The following is a 22,414-nucleotide window of genomic DNA, read 5'->3' as shown; positions in this document are numbered from 1 at the left end:
CTTGCCTCCTGTCCATATCAGTTTTAGTTCTTACATATGTCAGTCTCTTCTTCTCTCACCCAAAACTATGCATCACAATGAGTTTCAGTCCTAAAACGGTTTAACCCAGGACAGACAAGTTTGGTCCCAGTATCTTTTATCTCAGTAAGAAACAATCACGTTCACTTTAGTTCTCAAGCCTCCTTTTCACATTTTTGGTCTACCTTAAGCTGATAATGATAGATGATTATTGCCTGGGGTCATAATCAATACAAATCTTACCACTGTTTTCTGTGTCATGGTTGTAAGTAGAGTTTCTAATGATTACTGTTCTAATATCTGAAAGTGTCAGATTTCTTATTGATTGGTTGGTTGAGCATTTATTGGAAAATCAGCTATGGTACATAAATTAAGCCTCAGAAATTACACATTTGAGGAGTGCAACACAAATACTATAAAAAAGGATAATTGTCATAATTTGTAGACTACTTCTAAGCCAGAAGCCAAGAGTATCTCCATTAAATAAAGACACAAAAATATCTACAGTCAGTAGCTTTGAAAAGGACTCCCAAATAAACCTGCCTCCTGATGTTCACAACTCTTGAGTAATCTTCTCCCCTTGAATAATTTGCTTCTAATCATCATCCCTGAGGGGATGACACTTCATGACTAGATTACAAGAGATTGTAAGTTTCATTTTGCCAGCAAACTCTCTCTTTTGCTGGCTTTGATGAAGCAGTCTGCCATATTTTAAGCTAATACCTGTGTATGGTTTTATATTATCAAGTTTGTGGTAACTTGTAACAAGGGAAGAATAACTAATACAATAACCTATTGCAAATCAAAAGAGCTCACAGATGAGATATGTTGGTATTAGTCTACTGAATTTTTTAAAACATATTTTTCATAATAGAAAAGATCCAAGAGAAGTAGATCTGTAGGGATATACATACGGCATTGTTTGCCTAGTGTATTCTACTTCAAGAAGACCCTATTGTGTCCAAATTGGATCTATTTGGGACCACAATCTGCACAATTTTTTAGAACTTCTCATGCAAAAATTCTATGGCCTTAATTACACTATCCAGTTTTCATAATATTCTCTGCATCATAATATATAGATTATTCCCACTTTTCAAGCCAATTATACCGCATTAAAAAAGAGGCTTGAGGGCAGGTGAAAGTAGTTCAAAAACTACTCCCTGGTTGCTAAAATTTTTAGAAAAATAATCAAATTCAAATTGAGGCTTATTTTTTTTCTTTTAAATTAAATTTCTTAATATATGCTAAGAAGAGAAATTGTTGAGCCTGAATCTATCCTTTTTTAATAATATCAGAACATCTCTTGAATGTAGACATCAGTTTATCAAGATATTAGGTCCTTACAAAATTTATGGGGAGTAGTCAATAGGCTTGTGGGCTATAAAACTAATACTAGTTGTTAGAACCATCTAAACATAAGTTTTTGATAAAAGTACCCATATGGGTTTGCTGAATAGCAATGAATTATTTTGGCACACTTTCCAAGATTGGTCTGACAGCAGGAAATAAAATTTGTGGTACAGAGATCATCAGGGAGACTTAAGTAAGGGAGCGTTTTGGTGCCTAAGCAATGTATCTTCCTTGTAAGATCTATAAAATTTGATGGCCTCTTAATACATACCATCTGGATTTAAATGGTTTAAATATTTTTCAAGTTTATTTCTGTGAATGTTTAGGTACAATAGATGACTTCTAAGACAGATTTTCAAATGTTATTCCTATGGTGACAAAAAAGCCCTCTTTAGGAAGGTTGTGATAGAGGTTGTGAGTTTTCTGGATGCCTGACTTGTATTTATTTCTATCTAAAACCTCACTTGATAAATGGATCTGTTTTTCCAGATCAACTGATTTAATACAGAAATGAGTATCAAAAACAAAACTGAATTACACACAACAGAAGGTGAATACAAGTCCAAAAGTTTGATTGTATCAAATTCTAGCTAAATATTGGGAAACATAATAAGAACTAAGAAAGAACAACAAAGAACAATATTAAGGATAGGGACTGCATTGACAGCATTGTGAAGAATTAAAAGTGCCTGATAATAATCTAGGACCTTAAACCATTAAAGAGGAAAGAAAACAGATGGAATGATAGAGAGATACAGAATATACAGAACTAAGAACACACAGAACATACAATATGTGGCCTGGTTAGCTGGCTCTTGTTTCAAGTGTATTTGAAGGATGATGTCTACTTCATGCTGTCATCTGCAGGTCCTGGATAAAAACCATCTTGTCATTTTGTATAGTTTGGCTCTTTGTCCCCATGCAAATCTCATCTCAAATTCTAATCCCCATGTATCAAGGGAGGGACACGGTGGGAGGTGACCAGATTATGGGGACAGTTTCCTCCATGCTGTTCTGTGATAGTGAGTAAGTTCTCACAAGAACTGATGGATTTAAAAGTGTTTGGCAGTTCCCCCTTCACCCTCCCTCTCTCCTGCCACTATGTAAGACATGGCTTGCTTCCCCTTCACCTTCTGCAATGATTATAAGTTTCCTGAGGCCTCCCCAGCCATGTGAAACTGTGAGTCATTAAACCTCTTTAGAAATTACCCAGTCTCAGGTAGTATCATTATAGCAGTCTGAGAATGGACTAAACATCACTCTAGAAGAGCTCTAAGAATCTCAGCTTTTGGCCAGGCGTGGTGGCTCACGCCAGTAATCCTAGCACTTTAGAAGGCCAAGGTGGGGGGATCACGAAGTCAGGAGTTCCAGACCAGCCTGGCCACCATGGCAAACTCTGTCTCTACTAAAAATAAAAAAATTAGCCGGGTGTGGTGGCACACACCTGTAATCCCAACTACTTAGGAGGCTGAGGCAGGAGAATCGCTTGAACCCGGAGGCAGAGGTTGCCGTGAGCCAAGATCGTGCCATTGCACTCCAGCCTGAGAGACAGAGTGAGACTCTGTCTCAAAAAAAAAAAAAAAAAAAAAAGAATCTCAGCTCTAAACCTTCGATTTCCATAATAGTTGTTAACAGTGCCATATTATGTCTTTTTCTATGAGATTTCATAGCCATCAACAGAATCTGTTGTCTTTTGGAAAAATCTGGGTCTCTAGGTTTTAGATCATGAAAGTAAGAGTTGTTTAGAAAGATGTTGAGTCAAAGTTGTTGTACTGATGAGATTGCCTGTATTATATTAGTCCTTTGCAGTATTGAGCTTTATCTATTTGCAGTAAGGCGGTTACTAAAATCAAGTGTCAAATCTGATTTGGCCAGTTTGTTACTAATTCATAAGGGGAGACCGGGTGAATCCCAATAGAAATTGATCTTCTTGTAAGTAAAACCAATAGCAAAACTTTAGACCAAGAAAGTATGAAGGTCTCTGAGAGCTTTGCTAAGTTTAGTAATAGAGTTTTATATGAGTATCATATATATATGTATATAATACGTATATATTATAATGAGTATTCATTATATATGATACTCATTACAATGAGTATTCATTATATATGATACTCATTATAATGAGCATTATATATGAATACTCATTATAATATGGAAAAATAAGTTTCTGAGTAAACAGCAAGATTTTACAAAGCTCTTTGATGTAGTTTCAGTAAAAGGGCTGCTCCTGTCCTTGAAGAGATTGGTTAGTAAATATCTGCCTGAAAATAAAGGGGTAAATGTAAATTTGCTATTCGCAGAGCCATATTTTTCTGGAAAAGAAATGCTTCAAGTTATCCCCCAAATAAGCAATGATAAAAGAATATTCAGAACCCATTGTAGGAGATAATTTTTTTGAAATTTAATTAGAGATGTTCAAATGAACTCTGAGATGTGGACTTTAGTCCAGGATAAAACTGATGATGGGTACAACAAACACCAGAAAACCCTCATTAATTTTAGTAAATTTTTTCACTATCTATCTCAACTCAGTAAAGTGGCTATTCTTTTCTTGTGGTGGTGAGTGACTTCATGTAACATCCTTGCAAGGTCCCGTTTGATTTTCTTTGAAACTAAAATGCAGTCACCATGAAAACATCAAAGATAATCCTCATGTAATTTTCGGCCTAACTATATCTCTTTTCTGACTATGAATCTAATGGCTAACATTCGATAGTAACCTCTTTAAATCTCATCAAGTATTTGGACATTTGAGTTTATCATGGGACTAGTATTTTAGAGGCTGCCTCATGTAATGATCAATCAGAACATGTTCTTAAGTATCCATGTTATCAGTTGTACTTCAGTATCTATAATAGTCACTTTGTAGAAAGGAATTGAGTACTTAAAAGTAAAAGTCTTTTAAGTTTAAAAAAAGACTTTTAAGTACTCAATTGCTTAATAATCATTCAGATTATGTCCCGCTGAGGTTAAAAAATAAGATGAAATACCTTAGAGGGGATTGGCTAGTAGTATATGTGTGTGTGTATGTGTATACCCCCCAACTAATCACAAATTCAGCTAAATGCAATGCATTCTTCCTTTCAGGCTGATTTATGCCTCTGGCTAGTGTCCACATAGAGGCAGAGTTGATATCCCTTATATAATATTATTCCTGATATTTTCTTGTTTCATAAACATCAACAAAGAAGATTAAATGTAAATTTTCTAGTGAAGTTCTATTAAAAATGTTCAGGGCATATATAGTTCTCAAAAAGAAATTAGGCAATTATGAGTTGTCCCTTCTATTAATAGAAAAGTAGCAGTATTTAGAATAATTCACCAATAAACCTAAATGTATGTAGTAACAGAACTGCATAGGACAAATGCTTACTTGCCAAAGAATGTTATGTATTCTCATTGAGCAACATGATTTGAACAGCATGGGGGACCATTAAATTTAAGAAATACCCTAAAACCAAGTTGGCTAAGGTCTCTAAAGGGAGACCTAAGAAAGGTGACCTATTGCCTTAAGAAAAGATGAATTTTGAATTCAGATGGAAAGAAAAGTGGTGATAAACTACTAGTCTCTGATGGTTTCTATGCAGGTGAATAGGAACAGCTAGGACTTGCATAGATTTCTTGAGTATGAATAGATAGAAAGGTCTTGGATTATCCGTAATCTTTAAGAAGTGAGTAATTTGCCTTCTTGAGATAAATTATTCCCTAGGTCATGAAATTTATCTTAACGAATATAGCATTTCTTTAGAAACTTCATTCCTTTACTGAGTTGAAGAGAAGATAATTAAGTTTACTTAATAGTATTAGAGTATATCTCATTTACTTAATAGTATTAGAATATATCTCATTTTTGGAACATAGCAATAATTCATGTATTAGATAAGAGTAGAATCACAGGAAAATTTAAGTTCCTAAGGTCCAGGTTAAGGACTTATTAAATAAATAGATGAATATTCAAGTAAACTCCAGATAAATAATTGTCCAGATATATGGATGTAATTTGAATAGAAAGGAAAATTTGTATTAATGATATTTTTCTAGAGAGAGGCAAATAAGGCCAAACACAGACTACTACTGTAAACTATGTAGCCTCATGTAGTACTAAAGATAAATATTATTCAGGTTTGGTTTTCCAAAATAGAAGGGCTTGACTATTTTATTTATGGCCCTCAAGTCATAAAACGTCTATATTCTCTCCCACTGGATTTCTTGAGTCAAAGTGTAAGAACATTACAAGGACTAGTACAAAATGACAATATGAGTACCGGCTCTATTAGGATTCAGCTTCCAGTTTTCGATGTTATTGTGCAAACTTGGCTAAGTTCTTAATTTTGTCAATCTGATTCTTAAGAACTTCAAGCTCAATAACTCCACACATATCAGTAACATTTTTGACCTAATATGGGACTGGCACATCATGCTGAACTTCAGATTTGAGCTAGGTTTAAAATCAAAGAATAAATCACTATCTAAATGAGTTATGTCTTGATTATAAATAGTGGGTACTTCATAAATTTTCAGGAAAAGGATATCAGGAGAGCATTTAATTGGGTAATTCCATTGGCACTGTAAATTTTTCTCTATTAAGTCAGTGAGAGAACATCACAAAGCAGGAAAGAATGCCCCTTAATTAAAGTTTGAGAGTAACAATTGTATACTGAGACCTGGAGAGGTCAAGATTTTTAGAGATGATAATGATGGAGTTGTCTATTGACTTTGCAGCAGAGGTTATGCAATAATGAAGGAATTTATAGGTTGATATTATAAAGCATGGATTAAGTATTTGTAAAGTTGTCTCATAATATTTAAAGACATTTTCTTCATGTGAGTTTAAGGACACACGAAAATAGAATGCTGTATTTTATCTGAGAACACCCCCATTGAATACTTATTCCATTTTTCCTTTAGTTCCTTAGCTAATACTGGTCAACTGTGTTTATAAAACCCTTTCAGCTTGTAGTAAGTTCAATAATACTTAACATAAATCCAAAAATACATACCAAAAAATTAATACCTTGCAGATGTAATTAAAAATCTGAAGATGAAATTATCCGTGATTTGGAATGGGCCCTAATACAATGGCTAGTGTCTGTATAAGAGAAATGAGGAGATGTGGATGAATATAGGAGAAGGACATGTTAAGCTGAAAGCAGAGCTTGGACTTAATGTTTCTACAAGCCAAGGGTTGCCACAAAACATCAGAAGCTAAGAGAGGTATTTGTTTTGGTGTTTTTATTTTGGTTTTTTTTTTTTGGTTTTTTTTTTGATCTCCTAGTAGTACTACCAGCACTACTGTTTATTTCTCTCTCTGTCCTGGTTCTTTTTGTTGTAAGTAGAGTATATAAGATAAATTTCTTAATAAAGGGAGTGAACACAGGTCTGATGAATCTATAAGTGCTGGCCCTGTGGACAGATAAGGTCAGAAGTTCTCATCAGATTGGTGTCATGATTGGACCATTTAGTCTTGAGTCACCTATCAAAGTTTCATGAGAACTTTCCTCAGTCTTGTCTCATTTTGTTCACAAGAGTCATTTTCAGACAGATCCCTCCAAACTTTCCCACTAATGTGAACTGTTGGTTTTATGTGCATGCAGTTGGATTTTGGCTGTTAATTTAGAGGCTCATACACAACTTTTAAAAGGCTATTGTTCATGCTCTTAGTTTTATCTTGGTCTACATGTGTGCTCAAATTGGGTTAGAACTCTGTGACTTACATGCTTTTGTACGAAAATTGTAATTAATATGCTTATCTCTCTTTATGCCATGATTTCACAAAGGATAATTTAGAATTGCAGTAGCTATTGAGGAAATTTTGATATTCGCTGACTTGTTCATTTAAGGAGCTCATTAGAATGAAAAGGAAGTAAAAATTCAGGTTTCCAAATCTCCAATAGTCTGCTCTTTTTTTGGATAGAAAACTTCTAAAGTAAATTCAGAACTCAAAAGTTCTTAAGAAGTCCTTACCCAAGCCAAATAATTTCTAGGAGACAAAATTAACTTATCGTTTGGCAGCTTGAAATGAAATTGGAGCTCTGATCCAACGCAGAACCTGCCTCACTCTTACGTTTGGATAGAACTTTCTGAGCGGGAGGCTCTAGAACACAGCCATGAACTCAAGAGACTTCACTGTAGCAGCAAGATTGTCTTAAAAGGATGTTGGTACAACTTTGAGTATCAAAATTTTCAAGCATCTACTTGCTTACATTTCATCAGAAAAGCTTTTGCCTTTTTTTTTTTTTTTTTTTTTTTGCTTAAGCACAGCTAAATTTATTAGATCTTGACAAAATCTTAGGAGATCTCAGAAGGGGAAAGTCAGAGAAGTTGCTTACAGTATTTTTAGACACAGGGCTGGGTAAGTTTAAGGCAGATATTGCATGGAGGGAAACTGGCTGGAATTGGGCCAGTTTTATGGCATAATAAATTTGAGTTGGTGGGCACAGAGAGGAGAGGGTTTCAAGGGCAGTCTTGATAAGCAAACTCTTATTCTTGATAATTAGCCTATTTATTTGGTTTACAGTCTTATCTTCCTTTAGCAAGTGGATGCATTATTTTTGCCTTTGCTCTAAATTATGTACTGCAAGAATGGGATAATATGCATCATACCAGAATTTTTAATTTTGGAAACAGGAAGGCATGTTGGTTTCAGAAGTCTGGGAATCTCTTCTTCATTTACTAAACAGTATACATTGTAAATCTGAACATTTTGAACGCTCTCCTGAGCATTTGAAATAAGAAATAATCCTATTTCACACTATAGGAAATAAATATGTCTCAGGAGAGCATTTAAAATATTCTCTAATGCTCTCTAAAATCTAATCCATAGATTTTTTTTTTATTTTTCTTTATCTGGTTTCCTAGTAGAATAGTATAGTCTATGTATGGAAAATCCTAGCAAGATATTTGGAGATGACAATACATTTCCCTTGTTTTATATATTCTCACCTGATTTAGTAGGTTTTAAATTAGTTAGACATTGCTATGTTCAAAGTCATTACCTAAGCATATAATCTGGTAATAGCCTGTTGACATGTCTATAGTATTTTTTGTTGTTGGTGGTGTGGTTGTATTGGAATTATTGTTTCTTTTTTTGTTTTCGTTTTTGTTTTTTTTGTAGGAGTGTGCAGAATCCTGAAAAGTAGGATGTCATATACGCAATGTGATGTAATTCTCCAGTTTTCTATTGGTAGCTTCTAAGTTGCCAGAGAGAAGCCAGTAAACTTCATGTTTGTGCATGGCAGAGACTTCTGCTTGGAGAAACAGAACGTATTATCTACATTCACAAGCATGTCAGGCTTAGAAACCAAACAGTTCTATTAAATACTGATGTGGCAAAAATATAATTTATCTTGTTTAACCCTTATAAGTTCTTAGTTGAAACACTCTCCTGAAAACAAAAGCTAGGTTAACAAGCGCAAAACCGGTAGAAGTTTATCGACCTGTGCTGCACCCGTCACTGGGAAGAGGCCTCAGCTCAAAAGTGTCTTTCTCTCAGAACAGTGACTTGGAGCCTTGCTTGAAAGTATTTTAACAGGCCGGGCGTGATGGCTCATGCCTGTAATCCCAGAACTCTGGGAGGCCGAGGCGGGCAGATCACCTGAGGTCGGGAGTTCGAGACCAGCCTGACCAACATGGTAAAACCCTGTCTCTACTAAAAATATAAAAAATAAGCCAGTCGTGGTGATGGGTATCTATAATCTTAGTTACTTGGGAGGCTGAGGCAGGAGAATTGCTTGAACCCAGGAGGCAGAGGTTGTAGTGAGTCAAGATAGTGCCATTGCACTCCAGCCTAGGTAATAAAAGTAAAACTCTGTCTCAAAAAAAAAGAAAAGAAAAAGTATTTTAACAAAGATCAATAAATGCTAACATAGTGACAAGACATAGGTGAGAGTAGTTCCAGTCTTTTAAAAGGGAGGAAAACGTGGGAAGGTAGTGAAATCTGTTCCCACATTCTGCTGGTACATTCTCTGGGCTGATAAGCAAGTGCTGTCTTCAGTAAAGAAGGATGTATGTCCTGACATCAGGCAATTAGAGTGTTCCCCTATGTTTTCATAGTCTTTAATTAGCAACTCTCAATATTTTGGAGAGAAATATTTTGGTTTTCTTTAATACCAATAGAGTATACTTTTATATTTGTATCATCTTCTGTCTACACATATTATTTTCTTCCTATGAAGTCAGCATTTACTTTTTTGAGCATTTTTACCTTAGAATTCATTTTCTTTCATTTTCATGCTTCTAAGAGAACTGTTTGATTCACGTATTTGTTCAGAAAACACTTTCTTGGTCCATGCTTTAATGGCATTGCATGTTGCTTATTTAGTGAGAACAAGCACTTTGCATATACTGAGATTCAAAAAATTATTCTTAACAGCTTCATCAAATGTGGTGAAGATAAGAGGAGAAATTTCTGGAATTGAGCTACAATTATTCTTCATTTCCTCAGCTACTTGACTACTTTAACTGCTTTGCATAAGTGATAAATGATTTGTAAAGAAGAATTAGAGTAGTGGTAAAAATTTCTTGCCCTGAAATTTATCAGTGAAATAACCTGCAGATGTCATTAGGTAGCTTTATTCTTTCTTATATATAAAATTATTAAAGTAGGATAATATTTCAAACATATCCATATCTATATATTTCTTAAACACTTAAAGGCATAAGTATTTTAATTTTTGTTTATTAGATTCAAAAATTAGAAGCGTGGTAGGTTAAGGCATAGAATACCAAGTTTCTTGGAATTGTTTGCAAAACCTAAATAAAAAATACTTTTCATTTATTTTCTTCTTTTGAATGTTTATACTCCTGCATATTGAGTGAGGGAATTATTTTTTTCTCTTCATGATTCATTTACACATAAGATTTTGTGAATGTTTCTATCTAAAAGATAGCAGAATGTTTAAAATGAGAAAAAATATCACCTCCCAAATGAAATGTATTCAACAAGAAAGCCATCAACCACAGCATACTTTTTAATATAGTTTCAAAATCTTAGAAAAAAGCATGAAAAACAATAAACGAGACAAAATTTTGTATTTTACAAACATGATTTTAGGCTATACTCACACATCTCTAATCAAAATGAGGTGGGGCTATCACTTTTGTCACCTTAATTGTATCTCTCTGAATAAATATTGTATCATATTACAGTTGAGCCAATATAGCCAGTATATAGCCTTTATATACTGAAGGATTATTTTATCTTTGGGCAAAATTATGATGTTTTTAAACATGGAATATACTTTGTATCTATGATCTCTGAATAATCAGAATGATACCACAGAATGGTAGGCAGAAAAGTGTAGGGCAAATAAAATTGCCCAGGGATTGAGTTAAGCCTTTATAAAAATGATTTTCTAACTTTCTTTATTCTGGAAAAGCTAAGCATAAATTGGAATCATTAACTTTTAGGTAAATGTAAATTCTTTCTCTAAATGTAATAACAGGGATTGAAAACTCAGTGAAACATTTTGATTTATGGGCTTGCAAAGATACTGAAAGAAGGGATTTGGGTAAATAAGATGTAGTAACAATTCAATACAGCTTTCTGGCTTTCTTTAACACCTCTGTGAGATTCTTGACAAAATATGTGCCATTAATACAATTACTAGCTAAGCCTTTCACTCAAATCCTAAGCTAGCTAAGGCTTTGAACTCTAGATCAAGTAAACTGCAAAAAAATGTGTAGGGATGAGCAGTACACAGAATCCTAGGCTTTTTTTTTCCAGGCTTCACTCATATACTATTAGATTTTCAAAATAATTGACAGGATGGGGGAAAAGAAATCACACAAAAAACCCAATAATCAGAGGCTCCTCCTAGATGTCTAATAAAGATGAGAGCAAAGAGGCAAAAAAAAAAAAAACCAAACAAAGTAACCTAGAGAATAAAGAATGTGAGAGAGAGAACAAGAGAAAGAAATTAAAAGGAGTCCTTTCTCCAGGGTGAAGCAGTTGCTCACTCTCACCACCTGAGTAGACAACGTGGACAAAGGCAAGTACAAAGACACTATCTTCTCTGTGGGCTCCAAAATGAAATCCCTTTGCTGAACAGGGGAAAAACCTATGAAGATTGATAGTTTCATCCCATGTCAGAGACTGATTTTTAGACTCATAGAATCATGGTCGCGATCTAATATAAATTTTTTAAGAGATGTGATCTTACTATTTCACCCAGGAGACTGAAACTCAGTGGCACAATCATAGTTCACCACAGACTGAAACTCCTGGGCTCAAGAGATCCTCCTACCTCAGCCCATGTAATAGCTGTGACTACAGGTGCACACACTACCGCACCTGGTCTAAAAAATATAATTTGTAGAGATGGGGTCTTGCTGTGTTGCCCAGGCTGGTCTAAAAACACCTGGCCTCAAGTAATCCTCCCACCTCGGCCTCTCAAAGTGTTGGGATTATAGGCATAAGCCACTGTGCCTGGCCTTAGGTTTAATTTCTTATGATTGCATTTTTGTTCAATGTTCTCTTTTTTCTGTTGGCCATTTATCTAGTTGTTTTGAACCCTCAAATATAGATTTGAAAATTTATTCTTTTTTATGTAATAACTCACAGACAAAGAAGATTCTTTATATCCAAGATTATCAAACTTTGTTAGCACAGGGGCAATAGCAACAGCATATTTTATTATATCTGTTCTTTGGTTTGCAAAGAAACATCTTGTGAACTCCTGCCCTGACGGTACTTAGGCTCATGCAAAAGAAAAATAAACGTGAGTTGTTTTCTACTTTTGTTTAGCTGGCATTCTTGGAGAATAGAACTTATATGAAACTTGTAATGAAAGAATCTTATTCACATCTGCTTAGCATTCTCTCATTGTTCATGCAATTTTATATAAAATACAACCTAAATACATATTGTTTGAAATCGGCCTTCAGCATAGAGAGAATGTGCTTTTCTTTAAGTGGCTTGTGAAAGCAGCATCAGTTGTGCACCAGTTCATTAGACAAACCAAACATCAGTGCTGTATTATACATTATTCACAAAAGGAGATAAATCAAATGACTAATTCCTGAAAACAGGGCTTGAAACACCTTCAGAGGGCACCAGGGCATGCTAAATACAGTAGGAGTCACTTAATGACAGGGATTTATTCTGAGAAGTGTGTCCTTAAGTGATTTCATCTTTGAAGTCTGGGCATCATAGAGTGTACTTACACAAACCTAGGTGGTATAATCTACTACATATTTAGGCTACGGGGTCTAGCCTATTGCTCCTGGGCTACAAATGTGTAGAGCACACTACTGTACTTAATATTGTGGGAAATTCTAACACAATGGTAAGTATTTGTGTATGTAAACATATCTGAACATAGAAAAGGTAAAGTAAAACTGAGGTATTATAATCTTACGGGGCCGCCATTGTATATGTGGTCCATTGTTACCTCTAATCTTTTCCTTAAGTGGCCTGTGACTTTGTCGGGAAACTAGTTCACACCCAAAAGGGCAGACTCTGGAGACTTGGAACAACATTTAAATATATTAAAAAGGAAATGCTCCAGGTAGAATCTTCTTAGGTCTGTCAATATGTAACTTTGCTAATTAGATCAATGAAAATAGAACTCGTGCCTTCTGTTACAAGGGGATTGTAACACTGAGTTAAACTGTCAATATGCAAATATACCAATTAAAGCCACAACATAGTATTAGATGCATTCTGTATGGGAGAGTTGAGAATAAGGAGGAAAAAAGTGTTTTATTTGTTGATTTATTTTCTGAGTGTATATTTAACGCAGAAAGTTTTTACCCTTCATAATTGGTAAAGCCTGTGGTGCTTAAAGAATAGGAATTAACAGACCCCAAAATCAGATGTTTAGCTTCCTTCCAAGTAGGCCTTCCCAGATGATTTGGAAAAAGACTAATACAAAGCTATTTGTCTCCTGTGTCCTTAGGGAATCTTGTATGGGTTTTGCCAAGTTTGGAAATGGGATAACAAATGAAAGCGAAGAGCTTCACCCAGCTTTCTCTTCCCTGGAATACAAATGTATGAACTGCTACTGCATGTGGAGTGTTGTGAGAAGAGGCACTGCTGCCAGCCTCCATCTCCATGGCAATAGCAAGAGATAAAAAGCATCTCTAAGGTAACCAGAAAATAAACAAAAATAAGGTTTCTAGGTTAACATCCCATTAATCAGAAGTTACTTCAGAAAAAAATAACTTCTAGAGACTGTAGGTGGATTATGATAATTAACATTTATATCATTAAACTACTACTCTCCTTTACAAGCTTTTTTTTCTTTGCTCTCTTAAAATATTTCTAGTTATCTTACTATCCTAGCCTGTAAAAAACTTGAAATTCCCATCATCAAAGATGTATCCATTTTTTAAATATTTGGAGACTCTGAAAATCCACATACATTATTGCCTTCCTTTTAAATGTTAGCATTAATTACATTGTCAGATAAATTATCAATAACAAATTAGCACATTGAGATGAATCTAATTGAATCAATATAAATTGAAATCAAGGAGCAGACTCCCAACATGACAGTTTACCAGAGGGATACTTGTTACTCGACAAAAGAAGGTAGCAAATAGGTGCAGGCCGTGGGGAATTACCAAAAAAAGGGCTGCCTGGGAGATGCCAAGAATTGCCTATGTGGCAGATTGAGCTCTGAGGTACCTACATGATGCTGGGCTAGGGAGATGCGGAACTTTTGCATGTGTAGTTTAAAGGAAAGTTTTATATCAAACCATTGTATGATAAAGGAGGAGTTAAACTTGAATTACCTACCACATAGATTTACTAATTGGCTTATAGTGACATGTAATTTATTTTCCTAAAAGAAGTCTACAGCAAATGCACCTATATCTTTTGTGAACATAAAAGCTACATTTTATTCTGCCTCCTGAGTCTGATCCTGATAAATGCTACACTGATTCCTTTAGCATCTAAAACAAAATGAATTATATACTATCTGGATTACTGTAGAGCAGAATTCTATAGCTTCGATTTTCTTTGAAGGCCAAGCAATTGGAAGATAAGATTTTTACATGTCCTATGCCAAATTCATTGTGAAGGATTTTGTTGTAGAGTTATATTTTCAATAAGGAGGAGAGAAAGATTAAAGAAAATTTGAAAATGATTAGTTAATATTAGTATTAGTTTATTAGGAGTATAGCATAAAAAAGAGTATAGCATGAGTTAAATATACCTCAGTGTATGAAATACAAATATGTTTTGGGGGTAATCACTCAGACGTATTTGTTATATATTCAAAATTCCAAATAATATATCTTAAAAATGTAATATAAGATATAAAAATATATTCTGTTTTAGATATTTAGAATTTGGAAACCGGAGTATACCATGCCATCTGAACATATGTGGCAGTATACTGAGGAGACGTGTTTAGCAGAAGCATTCTTTTCAAGCATTCAAGCATTCTTGAATATGTTCTATTCTAGGACATATTCAAAGATATATTTTCTAGCCTTCTGTATTTTTTTTTCCAAGATCAGTCCTTAAATAATGGCTGGAAGTTGGATCTGCGCTTATAATTTGCTAAATAAATTTCTGCTTTTGTTTCTTTGAAGTCAATACATTTTTAAACAGAGAAAAAAAAATGCTGTCCAGCAAATAGGTTGGGCCATTGGGAAGTTAGGCTGTGAGAGCTTATTAAATGGCTGTTTTAGGCAGGTAGTCTTTGCTTCTGTGTACAGAAGAATGTCACATGCTTAATGAAGACTCCAAATATTCATTAACATTTCCCCCTATTATTATAATCTGCCATACTAGACCTACCTACATGCATGGATTAATTCCTTTCTGGCTCTCACTTTTGAGCCAGCATGTCAGTGACTGATTAGAGACTGTATGTGTGGGTCAGGCATCAAGATGCCACTGTCCCAATATTAAGGCTATGTAGACTCTATCAGGGTGCATGAACATGGAATATATAGGTGAGGGCTTTAAAGGGAATTACAGCGGCAAGAAGTGAACCATATAGAAAGAGATGGTTCTGTGAGATGAGTTCTACTTGGATGTATGTAAAGCAGAAATTAGCAATATAGTATTTATTACACGATTGAGACAACTCACCACTTTAAAGCTTTTTATATACACTTCGGGTTATATCACTAAAAGAATACTCCAATGCCATGGCATGGTATCAAGTGTTGTACATTCTGCATTTGGTTTTTCATTCATTAGCTGGTTTTTCATTCATTATCATTTAAAAAATCCAAAGAAAACCTTACTAGTTTGGTTTAAAATTTATTTATTTACCAGATCCTTTACTTATTTCACAGTTATTTTGAGGTGATCTCTATGTGTCATGAACTTTACTGGATACTGAAATACAAAATTAATAATATACTTTTTGCTCACTATGAGAAACAGAAAATCTAGTGTAAAAGAGATACATACATACATATATATTCCTTGCATAGATATGTGTGTATACATATGTAACTATATATGTAAAATGTAGATATATATGAGTACGTATCGTTTAAACACATATACGCAACATGTAAATAAATGTGTAAGTATATATGCACATATATAATGTAGTACAAAATGATGAATATTATTAAAGTTTTCATAAAATCACTGAAATAATTTTCCAAACTGTCTATGCCAAGCCCTGTCCAATAGGACTTTCTATATTTATGGAAATGTTCTATAATATTCTGTAATTGCCGATAAATAGTATGGTACTCACTGGTCTCATGTAGCTGTGGAATACTTGAAATGTGACTAAATTAACTGCGGAACTGAATATTTTATTAAATTTAATTTTGATTAATTTAAATGTATATAGTCATATGTGCTTCATGGCTAGTGTGTTGGACAGCACAGGGAAAAGACAATGCCTTGGAGGAGAAAGGGATTCATGATTTTCAGCCTTTATGAATGAGTGAAGTATTTCCCAAGTAGATTATAATTTAGCAAGGTGAGATACACTCCAGAAAGAGAACAGTATGTTTTTATTTATTTATTTATTTTGAGATGAAGTCTCACTCTGTTGCCCAAGCTGGAGTGCAGTGGCATGATCTCAGCTGACTGCAACCTCCACCTCCCGGGTTTAAGTGATTCTCCTGCCTCAGCCTCCCAAGTAGCTGGAATTACAAGCATGCACCACCATGACTGGCTAATTTTGTATTTTCAGTAGAGACGAGGTTTCACTATGTTGGCCAAGCTGGTCTTGAACTCCTAACATCGTGATCCGCCCACCTCGGCCTTCCAAAGTGCTGGGATTACAGGCGTGAGCCACTGTGCCTGGCGCTTTCATTTATTTTGTTTATTCATTCATTCCTTAAAAAAAAAAACTAATAATACCAAACTTTGTTAAAATTTTATAATGTACTAATTTTCCCTTTACAAGTACCTTATGAAGCAAATATTAATATTAACCAATTTGCAATGAGGAAACTGAGGTATAAAATAATTAATTCAAAACCCAGCTAGTAGTAGCAGAGCCAGGATTTAAACTTAGGAAGTCTGACTCTAAAGCCCATATCTTAACCTTTGTGCCGCATGCTATACCAGCCACAAAGGATACCAAGTACTTTCATTTGAAGCTGTTACACTACCCTATGTTACAAACCAGGAAATTCAGTTAGTCAGCTCAATCAATGCATATTTTATGTTTTCTAAGTTCAGACCCTATTTCACGTCCTTGAAAGAAAAAGGCAAATAAAACACAAACTTACTGCTCAAGAACTTAGAGTCTTACTGAGGTAAAATTTATTGAACTACTAGGAGAAAAATTTTGCTGTGTCTGGGGATATTGTGCAGTACTCAGAAAAAGGAATCAGTGAGCAAAACTGCAGCAACATACTGTATAGAGAACTAGAAAAGGAGAAACTCTTCACAAACTAGATAAATGGACCATCTGAAAAAAGGTAAAGATGGATACAATTATTGGGAAAAAAATGGGATTGGAAAGCCATGAGCACAATCAATGAACTCCTCTAAATGAGTACCAAAGCTTGTCACTGGGAGAAGCTTGGGGTATGAGACCAGGTGAGAAAGTCATGGCAAGATCATAAGAGGATGCTGTACTGGGTAGGAAACATTAAAATTTTAAGCAGAAGAGATATTTAAAGAAACATAATTTGGAATTCTAGAAGTAATCTCAAAAAAGAATGCAATGTTTTCATTCCATGGTAAACAATAAGCAAAACCACCATGACCTAAGAAACTATTGTGGCCTATAGGGGCTTGGTACCAAATATCTACTTCTCTGCCCATGGCGTCTGTTGCAGAGAAGCGGAGTCCTAATTTTCTGCCCACACATATTCCCTGAAGTGATGAGACAATAGGTCATCTTCTCCCTGAGGGACTCATAAAGCTCAAGATGAGAGTAAATTCCAGTGAATTATTAAATATTATACAATCATAGGAGACACATATCTTTGTTAACAAAGGAAACTCTATAAACTCAAAAATATATCAGATTTGGGTTAATTTTAAATATTTATCCTTAGCAGCTTCAGTGCCGACTGGAAAATGCATCATTATTCGTTGTCTAAGACAATAAAATCAACAACAGTTTCAATGTTGTACTATCCATTTTCTGCACAGTAAAGTGGTAGGAAGGAGCCCATTTTATCAGGAATGAAGTAACATTTCCAGTCATGCATCCCATAATGTCAGGGATATTGTGAAGTACTTAGAAATGCATTTTCAGGCAATCTTGTTGTTGCACAACAGCATAGAGTGTACTTACACAAACCTAGATGGTATATATATAGCCTCTTACATACGTACTTTATATGACACAGCCTATTGCTCCTAGGCCACAACTCTGTACATCGTGTTACTGTACTGAATAGGGTAGGCAACTGTAACACAATGGGAAGTATTTGTGTATCTAAACATATCTAAACATAGAAAGAGCACAAGAAAAGTATGGTATTATAATTTTACAGGACCATCATCATATATGCAGTCTCTCATTGATCACAATGTCCTTATGTGGCACATGATTATATTTTGGTTTAGAAACTCACTTATTTGTTATGGCACCAGGAGAAGATAACTCTTGGGTCTGTCTTTCAACATATCAAATGGGGTCAATGACTCTTGACTGACTTACCTTGTCCAATAACTTTAAATATGAAATATTTAGCAGATAATGAATGAGATGTACAAACATAAATGTTATATTGCCAAATATCCACATATTAGACTACTTTTACACATAACCACAACCAACACAATTAGGGAGAGTTTCCTCTTATTTTCCTCTTGATTAGTTTTATATTTTTTTTTCTTTTTCAGATATCTGATTAATTTCAAATTACTTTTTATCAGGGAGCACAATTGTTGGACAACATCTTGTGGACATCAGAGGTCTGTTCATTTTAACTCCTCATCTTTTACAAAAAGGTTAGTAAAAACATTTCCCCATTGGGAACCTAGTGGGAGATTTTTTCAGATCAGTAATTTTACCTACCGTTCATGGAGCTAGAAAATAATTCAATGTGCTTCAAGTAGTCTTACAAACAGAACTAGGTACTCTTCTATTAGCAGAAACTAACGATTTATGGCATTAGCCTTTGTGTTGTATGTCAAGTTGATGTTTTTATAGCCTGTACATGGCTTCTGTCTGTACAGTCATGCATCCCTCAAGAAACGGATACATTCTGAGAAATGTACTGTTAGGCGATTTTGTCATTCTGCAAATATTATAGAGTGTACTGATACAAACACAGATAGGTATAGCCCATTGCTTCTAGGCTACAAACCTGTACCGCATGTTACCGTACCGAATACCATAGACGGTTGTAACACAGTGGTATTTATGTATCTAAACATATTGAAACATAGAAAAAGTATAGTAAAGATACAATTTCATAATCTTAGTTATGTAAGATTAGATCTATATAATCTACATCTTGTATATGTGGTTCATTGTTGACTGAAATGTTATGCAGCCTATGGCTTTGTGGCTTGCAAACAACAAAAATTTGTTTCTCATACCTCTGGAGGCAGAGCAGTCTAATATCAAGGTGCCAGCATGTCTGCTGTCTGGTGAGGCTTATTTCCCAGTTGAAAGTTGGCACCCTCTCACTGTTTCCTCACGCAGTGGAAAGAGCAAGGCAATCTCTGGGGCCTCTTTTTTAAGGTCACTAATACCATTAATGAGGGCTCTGCCCTCCCAAGGGTTTCACCTCTTAATGCAATCATATTTGTTATTAGGTTTCAATATATTAATTTTGGGGGGAGTGGGTCACAAATATTCACACCATAGTAATGGTGACTCTAATCCTTAGGAAGAAATGAATGAACAGGATTATTTCTTAAATAACAATGAATAACAGCTAGAAATATAATAACTATACCATAAATACTATACTATGTTATTTTAGTTTATATAACATAAATATCAATATGCCATAAATACTACACTATTATATTAAGACTTATATTGTTTCATAACCATTGTAGAATACTCTCACAATTGTATGATGAGCAGCTGCCAACTTGCCACAGACAGTGGTCACTGGAATAATTTCCCACTGATCACAACAAATCACCAGTTTCCCCTTAGTATCGATGTTCCTTGACTTACCGTGAGGCTATGTCCTGATAAACTCATTGTAAGTTGAAAATATTGTAAATCAAAAGTGTGTTTTTCACTTAGCAATATTGCCAACTTAAAAATGGGTGTATCTAGACATAACCCTATGATAAACAGAGTAGCTTACTGAATGTCTATCACTTTTGTACCATTGTCGTGTCAAAAACTCCTTAAATTTGAATTATCTGTATTTCAAAGGCCTGTATTACAGATTAGTTTTCTCCCAAAACAACATTCATTCAAGTGTCTTCCAGTAAAATGTCAATAAGTACGGAATAAGGAACTCTATTAACTCTTTAGCAGCCACTAATACTCCCAAAAAGCTTGCATCTAGGCAATCAAATTGTATGCCTCTCAGAAATGGGTGGACTCAGGATGGTTTTATCATCAGTTGTTTGTTTTGTTGTTTTGTTTCGCTATCTTCTAGTAAGTAGAGGTAGAAGAGAAAGGCCTGAAGTGCACTTCCCCATAGTAGTGCTATTCAAAGCAGTTTTATACCTTTAAGAACCCACAGGACAAATTCCAACCTGGAAAGCAAAAGGAAACCTTCCCTAGACATCTCTTTCCCCAGATATTCAAAAAGGGGCAGACATTATTTCAGCTGCCTAGGGAAGGACTACCTGATAACCTAGATTTAATACTTCAGGAAAATTCTCTAGAATCTGACTCTTTCTAGTCCTGTCAAGGCCTGTGAAATATATAAGCTGTTGAGATTGGAAGCACTGGATATTCCAAAGACTGTATAAGGACAATAGTGAGCTGATGGGCGGACATCATGGCTTGGCAATGCGAGAAGAAAGGAAAGTAAAAGGAAGCAGATAGAAAACTGCGAGATATATCTTCTATTTAATATACTTTGCTATTGCGGATACATAGTTCTTTGGGAATGGTGACTATTTAAGCAGGGTGTGTAATCTTCCCTTACCACAGCATGTTTTCCTTTAGTCAGCTGGTAGGTCTTCTGCCTTACATGAACGATGTTGACTATTTTTGGGTTACAGGGACCAAACAGAATTACTTGGCATAGGGTTTCTTAAAACTATTTCTGCAGAACATTAGTAAAGTTTAAATAAGGATCAGGCTACCAGGAATACAGTTAGGGAACATGTGGATGAATATTTCTTTAGTAGAGGACTTCTAAAAGGCTATAATATTTGGATACATTAGGCTCATTATGAATCTCAAAAGGAGCATGTAGTAGGGCATATCTAATATATTTAGGCATAGAAACAATTTTTTCAGAGACCCTTCGTAAACAATGGGCCACAGCTTCTCCATACCAACAACCTTCAATTGGGGCATATCTGAAGTCTTCCTTTTTTGTACTACATAGCTCCCACTCTGTCAACCTTTAGGTTTCTGCAAAAATGCAGATGATCGTGGCTGACCTGTTGTTATAGCAACCTCTGAATTAATAGCCTTTACTTGTTATCATTTGGTTGGTCTTCATGTGTTTCCACAGTCATCATGGAAATCCCACTGAGACCCAGTCTGCACTGCCCATCATGGGCCTCGGTCTTTGGCCAGGTGCAGTACTCATAGAGGCGCCTCATGTCTCGCTCCTCACAGCTTGTGGAACTGATGATTACATGATCATTTTTTGTTTGGCATGCAGAGGACTTCAGACAAAATCCTGAATCAAAATTCCTTCACTAAAAGTTTATTTTGTCAAATAAATGAGCAACTTCATAAAATTAAACAAGAACAAACTAGATACATTTGCCTAGTAAATCCTTCCTCTCCTTGCCCTCTTAAGTGTTTCCCTAAACTGAGCCCCTCCCTCTTCTCTTGTATCCTTCTGATCTCTCTCCTTCCATAACTGTGTCTGTCCCTTTCTCCTCTTTCCCTTGTCCAGACCAACTGCCATTTTTAAAACTATCTTAAAACCCCAAATTGGCAGTTTCCTCTATAAATGTATCCCTCCCATGAACCACGTATATAGGCAAATACAGAATGTAAGCTGTAGACCTGAGCTAAATTAAAAGCTATAATGAAAGATTTATCTTAACCCAAACAAGTCCAGCAAATATTCACAGAATAATTTAGAATTATTTTGAGAATTCTAAATATATGAACCTATATCCACTTGTACAAATGTTGGTTAGAACGTCAGATGCTAAATTCTCAATGGCAAAAGCTGATTGGACTGACCTGCAAAATGGACTACAATATTTTGCTTTCTACAGTTAATTTTAGGGTAAAAATTAAAAGGAAACAAGAATAGATCAAAGTTTCCTAAAAACCATACCTGAAACATTTCCAATAAAAATTAACTGAATCATAATTCAATAACACAAACAAAAATAGGAAAGTATAGATTTTTTGAACAGACTAGAATAACTTCTGAAAACAGCTGGAAGTTAAAGAATGTGTTAATGTATCAGCCGTCATTTTATCTCCTACTAAAAATGGAGTTAAGCCTAAAATTGGAGACCTAATTAAAAAACAGAAATTACAATCAGGAATAGCCCCATTAGCTGAACTGAAACCCCTGTCAAAGC

Source organism: Homo sapiens, chromosome 2 (assembly GCF_000001405.40).
Source record: "Homo sapiens chromosome 2, GRCh38.p14 Primary Assembly".
NCBI classification, from domain to species: Eukaryota; Metazoa; Chordata; class Mammalia; order Primates; family Hominidae; genus Homo; species Homo sapiens.
Note: the sequence above shows the minus strand (reverse complement) of the source record.